This window comes from Homo sapiens, chromosome 6, assembly GCF_000001405.40.
Source record: "Homo sapiens chromosome 6, GRCh38.p14 Primary Assembly".
Lineage (NCBI taxonomy): Eukaryota > Metazoa > Chordata > Mammalia > Primates > Hominidae > Homo > Homo sapiens.
The window spans coordinates 129,521,052-129,534,112 of NC_000006.12; the positions used below are offsets into that span (position 1 = coordinate 129,521,052).

General features: G+C 38.0%; 1 long non-coding RNA gene across 15 annotated transcripts in view; it reads right to left on the reverse strand.

The window, feature by feature from the left end:
- The window catches only part of LOC102723409 (uncharacterized), a 77,085-nt gene that overhangs the window by 28,570 nt on the left and 35,454 nt on the right, over nucleotides 1-13,061 (reverse strand). For 5 of the 15 annotated variants that reach the window (XR_001743860.2, XR_007059754.1, XR_007059759.1 and 2 more), the window contains 3 exons: nucleotides 2,916-3,013; nucleotides 2,118-2,185; nucleotides 1,426-1,556 (listed from right to left, as the gene is read on the reverse strand). The exons of 1 other annotated variant lie outside the window; for it this stretch is intronic. This is a non-coding gene — a long non-coding RNA (uncharacterized LOC102723409). Of the gene's footprint in view, nucleotides 1-1,425; nucleotides 1,557-2,117; nucleotides 2,186-2,915; nucleotides 7,688-11,864; nucleotides 11,921-13,061 lie in introns of all 15 variants that reach the window. 9 more of the 15 variants (XR_007059756.1, XR_007059757.1, XR_007059755.1 and 6 more) reach the window with 6 other exon arrangements.

The window sequence follows — 13,061 nt, forward strand, 5'->3', positions numbered from 1 at the left end:
CCTGGCCAACATGGTGAAACCCCATCTCTACTAACAATACAAAAATTAACCAGGTGTGGTGGCAGGCACCTGTAATCTCAGCTACTCGGGAGGCTGAGGCAGGAGAATCGCTTGAACCCAAGAGGCGGAGGTTGCAGTGAGCCAAGATCGTGCCACTGCACTCCAGCCTGGGCGACAGAGTGACAATCTGTCTCAAAAATAAATAAATAAATAATAAATAAGGACGTTTTATGAAAGGGAAAAGTTTCTTCTCTAGTATTTTTTAATTAATTTCTGACCTCAAAAATCAAATTAGTTCTTATCCCAAAACAAGATAAAATATTTCCTCTACCCAACCTTGTCCCCTCAATGATTTCCTCACCTCCTGCCACCCACAGCAATTATGAAGAAAGCAGAAGACTTTTCACTTATTTTCCAAACACCCACTCCTACCAGGTTGTCAGCCTTCTTCTTTAAAAAGGTGCTTTGCACTTTAGAAGAAAAACATTTGTGAGGGGACTTTTATTGAAGTTACCATGGTGAACACCACTGACTAAAGAACAGAGCAGATTTCAGCCCCAAAGCACCAGAACACTGGCAGACACTTAAGGCTTCAATTAGCGCTTTAAAAAAAGTCATCACTATTTTCTCCCACTTTGATTTAACCTATTGTCCCCAACTACAGAACTCTTCTAGGTTTCCTACTTAATGACAGAGGAAAAGAGGACTTTGACAAATTGAAAATCTCTTGATGTTATATGAATTATTTGCTGAATTATTTTGTGTATAATATAATCTATGATTAACATGAAAACAAAACACAATATCGTAATCCATTTTTGCAAACCCTGAGTAGTCTTTTTTACTACCACTTGCAAAGGGTATGACTTAACTGCTAATGCCAGTTTTTAATCTCATTTTTAAAGTCTTTTAATCTCAGTTAAATTAAGAGAGATATAAAAACATATGCACTTTTTTCCTTTGCTCAACTGAGATTAATACATACCTCACACCCAAAGTGAACCTGGAGGGAAGCAATGCCCCAGGCTGGACCCTAAGTTCCAACATGATTTAGGAATCTTGTCATGCAGGGTGGTGGCTCAGACTCATTCTTTTGGCCTTTGTGCCAGTTACCTAACTGAGCATGATGTTTGTGCCATTATTGATATGAGGGTGTTATGGGCTGAACTGTGTCCCCACAAAACTCATGTGTCAGAGTTCGAAACCGCAGTACTTCAAAAAGTGACTCTATTTGGAGACAGGACCTTTAAAGAGGTAATTAAGGTGAAATGAGGTCACATGGATGGGCTCTGATTCAATATGACTGATGTAAGAATTTGAGAAGAGATTAGGACACAGATAGGCATAGAGAGAAAACCACGTGAAGGTGAAGAGAGATGACGGCCATCCACAAGCCAAAGAGAGAAGCCTCCAGAAGAAACTGACCTTTCCAACACCTTGATCTCAAACTTCTAGCCTCCGGAATTGTGAAAAAATAAATCTCCATTGTTTATGCCACCCAGTCTGTGTTGCTTCATAACGATGGCTCCAGAAAACTAATATGGAGTGTTTCTTCACTAAAAAAATACAAATAATAATATTTTAAAATTTTAAAGTATCAGCACATTTCAGGTTCTCTAAAGAGTGACATATAGATCATAGAAATCCATTATTTTGAACAGTGACCATTATCACTTATATAATGATTAGAAAAATTTTGAGAATAAAAAAATAAAGGCACATTCATAACATGCTTAAGAAAGTTGTTTTATATATTCTTGGGGATATTAGAAATAGCTACATTCAGTTACAAATCAGAGAATTAATACCATCACTTTTTGAATGTTTTGGTAGAATGGGCTCTCTTGAGAGCTAGTTTTGTATCTTCAGGTTTGAAGAACGGCTCATTCACCCTTGGACAAATTAAGGCCCTGTTTTATTTAGAAAAGTTATCTCCCTGAAGCACTACACTTCTGCAGGAATGCACCTAGAGATAGAAAAGGTGGTAGCAGTAGAAGAAGTGAGAAATGGTTAGACACTGATTTATTTTGAAGGTTGAGTTAGGCTATTTTTGCATCACTATAAGTAAATATATGAGGCTGGGTAATTTATAAAGGAAAGAGGTTTAATTGGCTCACAGTTCTGCAGGCTGTACAAGAAGCATGGTGCCAACATCTGCTCGGCTTCTGCTGAGGGCTTCGGGAAGCTTACAATCACGATGTAAGGCGACAGGAAGCCAACCCATCACATGGCGAGAATGGGGAGCAAGAGAGAGAGAAGACGGAGGTCTCAGACTCTTAAACAACCAGATCTCCATGAACTAACTGAGCAAGAGCTCACGTATCACCAACGGGGTGGTACTAAAGCATGCGTGATGGATCTGCCCCCATGATCCAATCACCTCCCATGAGGCCCCACCTTCAACATTGCAAATCACATTTCAACATGAGATTTGAAGGGGACAAACGTCCAAAGCATATCAAAGGTGGACTAGTGCTTCCTGTAGGATCGCCTATGGAGTGCGACAAAATAAGGTACTGATAACTTGTGATCATCTGGAAGGATAGAGTAGGTATTACTGGGGGATGTGAGTGGAGTAGGCTTTTTATGGAAAACATAACACAGAATTTAGTTTTAGACATGTTTAATTTAAACTCCCCAGTAGGTATCTAAGTGCATCATGCCACAGGCAGTTGAACATAAGGGTCTTCAAGAAAAAGATCCAAACTACAGATATAAACATGGGAATTATGAGAATATTGATGTTATTTATAACCACAAGACTGAGCGAGATCACTAAGGGAGTGAGTGTAGAGGGAGGACTATGGATACACTACCACATTAAGAGTATTAAGAGTATGGGTATAAGAAACATTATTCAGAACTTAGAAATAGGCAAAATAAATGTCTGGATATTCTTTCAGTGCAGTACTTACCAGGCTTCTCTTTCTATCAACTGGTCTGTTTTACAACTCCATACGGGCAAAGGTTAACTTGTAGGTTTTTGTCTAGCAGGGATGCAAACAAGTTCTTTCTGGCGGAGAGATAACCCCAAAGGTAACAGTTTTGTATCGAGAAATCTTATCCTAATATTCTTTTATGAAATGTGTGAGAGTGTGTGTGTGTGCATGTGTGTGTATGTGTGTGTGTGTAGCTTCTCAAATTCTTATACAAGTTTTAACATTTTATGGGTTCCCTCATGGATTAAGTTAAATAAAATCTTTGACATGAGTTCACACTATCTTTGCCTGAGAGTCATAAATTTTTTAACTTTGAAAACTGGGAAAAAGGGAAAAGGAGTAACCAGCTGAATTTGCCCAGGTTAATTCAAAACTAAAAACCAGTTCACACAATGTTTTTATTTATGATTGAATTTTCTAAACATGCCAACCTTATGTTTCCACTGCTACATTTCTTATGAAGTAATGCTAAGGAGGGAAAAAGCTTAAGCTTAAGAGAAGAATTTTGGCTTTTTATTTCACTTTTATGGGCAATTACCCTCTCCTGTTAGCCTCAGCTTCTAGACACACACACACACACACACACACACACACACACACACACACATCCAGTCATCTGTTTAGTAATGTTGGAGCCAAGAACAGATTACCTGTAGCCAAATACACCACTGATTTTTATATTTCTTTACAGAAGTGTAGACTGACTTTGACACTCAAACTCTTGAATAATAATAAAGGATTGAAAAAACAGAATTTTTAAATCATTTTGTTACTTTTGAATTACATAGGACAAAACAAGAGTTTTAAGTAAAAAAAATTATGTCAGCATATTATTTAAGATCATTTTATGTAATTAATTTATATAATACCTAAAGTCTATTATCTTACAGGTAACTTAAATAAAATTATTGACTTCAACATCATAAAAGAAATATCTGAACAGACTTTCACCGAATTTGGAGAACGTGTTTTGGATTAGCTGAATTAAAATGCAAACTATACAACACTATGGGATTCATTGGGGCACCCTAATGGGCACCTCAGGGAGATGGGCAATCATCCCTGAAACTGAAGTATCCACATTAGAAACTGTTAACTGCTTATGGAGGAAAATACACCACACATATTAACACATGGTGAACAGAAAAGAAACACAATATCAAGTACGAGTTTCAAATCAAAATTCACCAAGCAGATGCTACAAATTTTAGGTGCTGATGAGTCATTGTGCTATATTTTGCACTGGCAACTCTGTAGAATATGTTCCAGGGTTAGAACTACCAAGGACTCATTTAAATAAACAAATGATGGTTCATACATCTTTCAAGAGGTGTAGAATAGGCCAGTTAACTTCTTTGTACATAAACAGATGGAGATGGAGGACAGAAGGGTAGAAGGATGGGAGGAAGAGGCAGAAAGAAAGAGATATTTAGGCTTTTCCCATTTTAAAGGTGATAGTCCCTTTCATTTAAATATGTAAATAAAAGAAAATGTATTTATAAATTACTTTTGTTTGGTCTTATACCAAATGAATATTAATATTTTCATTGACATTTTAACAATGTGTTGTGGAATCAAAAATGGACCAAAACTAACTTCATGATCTGATGTTTGTAATTCTTATATTTTTATTCCTTAAAATATCAATTGGATTATTTAGATACTCTTCATTTTTTGATTCTTAATGATAATTAAAATAAATGTTTACACTACTATGTATAGACACTTCTCAAAAATAACACATTGTTGCTATGAAGTGTTTAGTCCCAGTAAATAAAATATAAACTGAATACAATTTAAAATTTTATTTTCTTTTATAAGTTGGTTTTTAATGTATTAGTGGTAATCATGATGCCTCATATAATGAGATGAATGTAAATTATGGATCTGGTGAGGGAGCTGAATGTAAATTATGGATCTGGTGAGGCAGATGTGCAGAAATTACTTCATAACAGTCAAAACAATCAAGGTGTTCATCATCACTGTGTTGGGTAGTTAACAAAATGAGTAACTGAATCATATAATTTATCTGGTTTTCATTAATTGGCATGCATACTCACTTGATGTGCTTCCAGTGGGCTCTAAACAGTGCAGCTATTAAGTGGAAACTCTTAATAATTTTATTTTGTATAATGCTCTTTTAGATGGAAATAGACATATTTGCCATTTTTGCCTTACAAAGACAAGAATTCTCTTGAACACAATCATAAACCCTGGATGTACAATATCACTAGTGAGAAAGTACAGTTTAGCAATAATTTTCAAATGGTATGTTGAGACATGTCAGTGGGTCATAAGATCAAATTACAGATTTGTAAAAGAGCAACTTTTATAACATAGTAGGATGGAAGAAAATGAATAGAATAGAACACAATAACAACACCAAAGTGCACTGTACAGAGGAAGTATTGTTTCGTGAAACTTGTTTTCTATATGAATATGTTTCTGTGAGTATACACACTGGGTCATAATGTAAAATGTATTTCTTTCTATGGTTATAATTTTTTAAAGTTGAAGTAGAGGATATCACAAAATATGGGAAAATAAAATGGGGGAAAAAGAAAGGGATCAATAAGGAAATTATTTCTTCGGGGAGATTAGAATAACAAATTTGTAAAACGTATAGACTAACCCAATAAAATCGGCTTAGTAATGTAATATAGACCATAAAGCTGTACTCTCAAACCTCACTAGGATGTTCCATTAAAAAGTGTAGCTTAATGAAGACCCCCCAATTGTGATGACTCTGACTCTAGCAGATAGCAAGGGCTTCAGTTGAATCCAAAAACTCATCTCTGAAAAGAACAGAAAAAATGTGGTAACAATAAAGAAGAGTCATGGGAGAACAAAGTTATTGAAGGAATAATGGAACAGGAATATAATGGAAACTAAAGACAACCAGATCCAGCACAGTAAAACTAGGAGTTCTTTTTTTGAATTAAAACATTGCCAAAATCTCATTTCCTTAGCAGACTCTGAAGAGTAGAGCCCCCATAAAAGAATTTTTTAAAGGCAAATAAAATACAAAGAAAGATTTGTTCAGATCGACCTTTGGGTTAAGAATAAGACATTTCTTAAGATCCAATTGTAAAAATCACATTCAGACATAAACTCACAAAAATGTATGCAGCAATTGTAGTAGCTCATGCATAATTATAATACTGGATAAAATAATATACTATTTTGTATGGGTTCTTAAAAAAATCTTTTTAAGGTGAAAGAAAGGTACATTTCTTGAATGTTTTGCACTGTAGAAGACAACTGCCTCAAATCTATTCTCTTTACTTCTGGAAAGAGTTCCTTATATTTTCTTCTCTTTTTTTTTTTTTTTTTTTTTTTTTGAGATGTAGTTTCTCTCTTGTTGCCCAGGCTGGAGTGAAATGGCACAATCTCGGCTCACCGCAACCTCCACCTCCTGGGTTCAAGTGATTCTCCTGTCTCAGCCTCCCTAGCAGCTGGGATTACAGGCATGTGCCACCATGCCTGACTAATTTTTGTACTTTTAGTAGAGACGGGGTTTCTCCATGTTGGTCAGGCTGGTCTCGAACTCCCGACCTCAGGTGATCTGCCTGCCTCAGCCTCCCAAAATGCTGGGATTACAGGCATGAGCCACCCTTAGGGACCTATTCCTTTCACCATCCCTATGCCAGAACTGGATGCTAGTAATCCAATAAGTGAATTCCATTCCGCCTCCTGCCTACAATGCTTGAGGTGATAAGGAATCTAATCAGAGCCAGTGAAGTTTTTGGTAAGGCTAGTTTGAAATGATGCACCCCTCTCCTGAGCTAAAGCATAGTGTGCATAAGGATGTGACAGTTGGAACTGTTGTATCTGATTTGCTACTAAGTAGGGAGAGCCCAGATCTGCCAAAAGACCATGGGATGCATCCTGAGGATGAAGATGACATTGCAAAAGGCAGAATGGAGAAACTACATCTCCGGTAAAACCTCATCTGAAGCCTGTCATAACTCCGCCCTTTTCACCTACGTGCACCAGGATAGTTATTGTGTTGTTAAAGCCAATATTGGAGTTTCCTCTCACTTGCAATATTCGGTTCTAACTGATAGATCTGCGAGCCATGTGCCAGGCCCTGTACTGTGCCTAGCAGACACAATTTTCTAGTAAATGCCCTCAACAGTCCTTTGTGACAGCACTGTTATCAACCCCATTTTAGATATGAAAAAACAGAGGCTTAAAACAATTAAGTGACTTGTCCAAAGTCACCAAGCCAGGAGGTCCTGAAAACATACATTTTAAATTTAAAACATTCTCATTAGGTTCAATACTTTCCAAAAGTAAAATCCTATATTACTTTTCTAACTTTTCAATTATTTTAAAAACTAGAACTTGCAGGATAAAGGTTAAGTAGTGATTGGGAGCCCAGTGCTGTTCTCATCGAGAAGAGAGGTAAAACCAACGTTCCTGACCTTTCTTTCCATGTACACGCAGTTAAATCCTAAAATATACAGGCCCTCTTGAGACAAGAAGTGTATCTTGTCCACAGTTCTTTAGTTTGTAAGCAAAATCTTCAAGCCAGGCAAAGCAACCCAAGGGTGTTTATTACCAAAATATCGGGGTTTTTCATGGAACCCAAAGGAAAAACAGAGAAGCCTGAGATCCTAAGGACATGCAGTCAAGGCCTGAAACTATCAGGGCTCGTGGCAGCTATTCTACCTCCATCTTTGCTTCCTTCCCATTGTGTTTCTGCTTCAGTCTTCTCTCTCTCCAGATGGGATGCCTGGCTTTGGCTGCATGGAAATAGACAATCTCTGATTACAACAGTTATTTTCAAGGGGTCTATGGAGAAGAACCAGCTGCTCTTTATTCAAATTTTAAATTCCCTAAGAAGGAAGCATGATTGGCTGGACATGAATCAAGTGTTGACCTCTTGTGATCCGTGCACTACTGCAGGATCAGGTGGCACGAATAACCACTCTCAAGTGGCTGAGAGGTGAGGTGATCCTGGAGAGGAGGAGATCGGCTACACAGAAATCCAAAAAGCTGTTTGACTATAGGATTAGCATTAAAACAAACCAAGACAAAGTCGGAGCTAAATTCAGGATGCACAGAAGTTCAGGGGAGAAGGAATTCTGTGGGGCTGTCAGGTAAGGGTTTGAGTCCCCAGGGAAACTTGAACTTGGTCATAAGAGATTTGGGAAGAAGAAGGGAAGGTAATCCAAATAGGGAAATCTGACACCTGAACAACAGAACGTGATCTGATGAATGAATGAAAGAATCATTTTTTAAATAAAATATGTAACAACAGAAGGAGACATTGAAAAAAACAATGAATTGACATGTTAAAAGTGGAGCTTTTTTTATATCCCTAAAGAGGTAGTAAGAATTATGTGGTGTCTCTTCGAATTCTTCCAAAAAGACAAGACGATAAATGAATTTCTTGACTAAGTGCTGGTTTTGAAGTGAAAGCTTTATCACCACAACTAAAAAATATTAGTCATTGATTAAATAATAATGAGTTTTTTAAATCTTTCTTCTTTCTCCCCCCGGCTTCTAAACAACCCCATCTGCCTGATAGATCGATATAAATTTAAAGGCCTAGTGTTTACTCAGAATGTTTGGTTTGTGTGTCTATTGCAGTACACGTAGTGCAAATATGAAAAAAATATCTAATTTTCTTAATAGAAAGTCTATAATTGATTCAATCTAATGTATTTCTGAAAGATTAATAAAGCTGCTTTTCCTCAAGACAATAAGACAAACATTAAACAAAAACTTCTCTCAGGAGTGAATGGTAACCCCAGTGACCTCCTTCTCATGATCTGCAAGCACTTTATAAATAAACACATCCAAGTGGGATGTGATGGTTGGATCCACAGTCATTTCTCCTGAACTAAACTAGATTGCTTTCCCACTCGAGTGTAATAAAAATGTAAAATTCAAATAATGACCTTTATTTATGCTTTCTAGATCAAACATTATGATTCTCAGAAATGATTTTTCAATTAATTCTAAAACAAGGTTATTAATATTAGTAGCTTGATAAATTATAAAATGCCTCTTTCTTTTCCTCTGTCTTCTCCCTTTTTCTTTGCCTCTCCATTATGTCACTCTCTTGTTTAAAAAAAAAATCTAATCTTGGTGAACGCCTGATTGAGATCAATAGACATGGCTATGAAAAATGAGAACAAGAAAAGTTATCACTCATCTTTCATCTGGCACCTAAGCTTGAGAGCCTCTTATATGTAATGCACTGATTAGGTGCTGGAGACACAATGTTGAATAATTAAGACAGAATCCCTTGTCTCTTCTCTTCCTCTGGGATAGGCAGGTAAGTAGAGCAGTGAATAAAATAGAACTTTGTTGGGAGTGCTGTAAAGGAAACAAGGGACTAAAACAGAGAGAAATGGGAAAACCAACTTTAGAATGTGTGCTCAGGAAAGCCTTGTCTCATTTTAGGTGATATCTGAATGGTATCTCATTTTAGACATCATTTGGGTGATACCTAAAATGAGAAGAAGCCAATTATCTGAAAAGTATGTTCATGTTTGTGGGCAAGGCAGGGTGTCATCCCTCAGAAGGCAGTTTGAGCAGAACTAGAACATGCAGACTCTGAGCTGGGACAGGATAGATGTCTTCTAGGAAGCAGAAGAAGATCAGTGTGGCCAGAGGTTAACAAGCCAGTGGAAGGATGGCATGAACTCAGCTGGACAGAGGTTCAGGGCCACATCATGCAGGGTTTTATGCGTTATGGGGATGAATTTGGGTATGGGTTTTAAGAGCAATGAGAAGCCACTGAAAAGATGTAATCACAGGGCCTGATTCAGTTTCTGTTGCTGCTACCTGAATACAGGATTGGAAGGGCACGAGAGCAAAAGCAGAAAGACCCCTCAAGTAATTGTGGCAAAAAGGTGATAGTGGCCTGGACTACAGTGTGTTTGCAGAAATATAGAGAAGAGGATACATTAAAGAATATTTTGAAGACGGAGCTAGACCTAAGATGGATTGGGTGCAGGGGAGGTATCTGAGGAATAGGCAAGGAAGGAGATTTCAAGGACAACTTTTAGATTCGGGACTCGAATGATCATGTAGATGATGAAGATGTTATTTATAAGACTAACGAAAACTAGGGAGGTGAGAGGAGAGTAACAACTAGGATGCTTTGGGCTACAGAAAGTCCAGGCTTAATGTGCTTTAAATCTTATGAAAATATGTCATTTAACATAACTAAGAGGTACATAGCAGTGCAGGATCCAAGTGCTGGACTTTAGGGCTCTGAGTCCACTGTTCTGTGGTTCTCTTAACTCTGCCCTGTTCAGTAGGGGTCTATCCTCAGGCACAACAGCTGCGACACTTTCACGTATCAATACATTTTTAGACAGAAGTGGCCATCTTGACCACTGTCTCCTTCCTATAAGTGAAGAAAGATTTTCTAAAAGTTTTGCAGAAGTCTTTACTCAGTTCTTATTTGCAGAATATAACTATCCCCAACCAACTGTATGCAGGAAAAAAAGAGATCTTCATATTTTCTTGTATCAATAAGGATATTTTTCCCAAACTGAAGATAGAATTCTCTTCCCAAAATATGTTAGGAAATTGCAAATAATAAAATAAAATCAGGATTTAGGTATTTACCCAAATGTATTAAAAATGTATGTCCACTGAAAAACCTGCACACGGATGTTTATAGCAGCATTATTAATAATTGCCAAATTGAGAGCATCCAAGATGTCCTTCAATAGGTGAATGAACAAACAGTGGTATATCCATATAATGGAATATTATTCAGTGATAAAAAGAAATAAGCTATCATGCAATGAGAAGACATGGAGGAAACCTAAACGTACATTTCTCCTTTTTTTAACCATCTAGCTTAAAATGTGATACATGCATGTTTCTAAGTGAAAGAAGCCACTCTGAAAAGACAACATACTGACATTCTGAAAAAGGGCAAAGCTATAAAGACATTAAAAGGAATACTGGTCTCCAAGGGACCAGTGGGGAAGAAGGGGAGAAATGAGTAAGCAGAGCACGGAGGATTTTTAGGGCAGTGCAACTATTCTGCATGATACTGCCATGGTGGATACATGACATTATGCATTGGTCAAAATCCACTCTGTACAACACAAACAGTGAAACTTAATGTAAACTATGGACTTTAGTTAATCATAATTTATCAATATTGGTTCATCAGTTGTTACAAATGTACCGCACTAATGTAAGTTAATGCTGAAATAGAGGAAACTCTGTAGGGGTTGGCAGTGGAGAGGAGTTTATGGTTTCTGCTCAATTTGTCTGTAAACCTACAATTTGTTTTGAGACAGAGTCTCACTCCATCACCCATGCTGGAGTGCAGTGATGCAATCTTGGCTCACTGCAATCTCTGCCTCCCGGGTTCAAGTGCTTCTTGTGCCTCAGCCTTCCTAGTGGTTGGAACTACAGGTGTGTCCCACCACACCTGACTAATTTTTGTACTATTTGTAGAGACAGAGTTCCACCACCTTGGCCAGGCTGGTCTCAACTCTTGGCCTCAAGTGATCCACCTGCCTTGGCCTGACAAAGTGCCGGGATTACAGGTGTGAGCCACCATGCCCAGCCCCTACAATTACTTTAAAAAAAATAGTCTATTAAAATAAAATCAGGACTCTGCCAACAAGAAATACAAGATAAACAGAGTTGCATAGGTGGCTAATGATGTCTACAATGGGTGAGGGAAAGAACTAGTTTCTTTTTAAACATCTTGAATTTGAAGTGTGAAGTATCATGTCGAATGTGTCAGGTAGGCAGTCAAATGTGTGAATCTGACACTCAAATGATAGGCCTGGGCAAGAGATATAAATTTTGAAGGCGAGGGGTCAAAAATTCATGGGAATTAGTAGGACCTCTGTATTAGTCCATTCTCATGCTGCTATGAAGAAATACCTGAGACTGGGTAATTTATAAATAAAAGAGATTTGATTGACTCACAGTTTCTTATGGCTGGGGAGGCCTCAGGAAACTTATAATCATGGCTGAAGGCACCTCTTCCCAGGGCAGCAGGAGAGAGAATGAGTGCAAACAGGGGAAACATCAGACACTTATAAAACCATCAGATTCTCACGAGACTCACTCATTATCACGAAAACAGCATGGGGGAAACTGCCCCCATGATCCAATTACCTCTACCTGGTCCCGCCCATGACACGTGGGGATTATTATAATTCAAGGTGAGATTTGGGTAGGGACACAGAGCCAAACCATATTAACCTTCTAGGGAGAGAGAGAAAAACAGACGGTTCCAGGACCAGGTTTGAGAAACTGTGGCAGGAGGACAGGGTCTGGAGTCAGGGAACCCAGGCTGATTCACGCTGACTACCTAGAACTAAATGAAAAGGAAAACCCCACCTCTGCACAACCAACTAACAAAAGAATCAGAGCTTACTCCCTTTGCAACCCACCCCCGACCTTTTTTCTGCCTTGGAGATGAAAAATTAAAGTACCTCTGATTGGTCCCTTCCTGCAACCAATCAGACTGGTCATAGGCCAAGTCTTCATGTGTAACTTTGTAACTTCACTTCAGCCTCTGATTGGTCACCTTCTACAACCTATTAGACTGGTTGCAGGCCACTACTTCATTTACATAGGGTGTAAACCAAGTAACCAATGGGAAACCTCTAGAGGGTATTTAAACCCCAGAAAATTCTGTAATAGGCTTTCTTGAGCCGCTTGCTGGAGCACACTCCTGCTCTGTGGCGTGTACTTTTGTTTCAATAAATCTGGGTTGGTTTATGCATTTTGTCTAATTCTGTGTTCAAAACACCAAGAACCTGGACACCTTCTACCAGTAACAGAACTACCACATTCAGAGGTTGAACTTGAAGGTGATGTCAATGAAGGAGAATGAGAAGGAGCAGGCAATGAGATTTTAGGAAAATGTGATGTCAAGAAAGCTAAGAGAGGAGAGTGCTTCAGGACACAGGGAGTGTCAAATCTTATATTACTTCTGTTTAGTGTTTTAGTTCTATTAAACTAACCATAATTGGTTGTTGATGGGGTTTTTTTAGTTTTTGGGTTTTTGTTTGTTTGCTTGCTTGTTTTTGTGGACAATACTTATTTTGGTTTAATTCCTTTTTTTGCTTACTGTCCTTTCTTGAATTCCACGCCTTCCATCTGGCTTATTTTGTT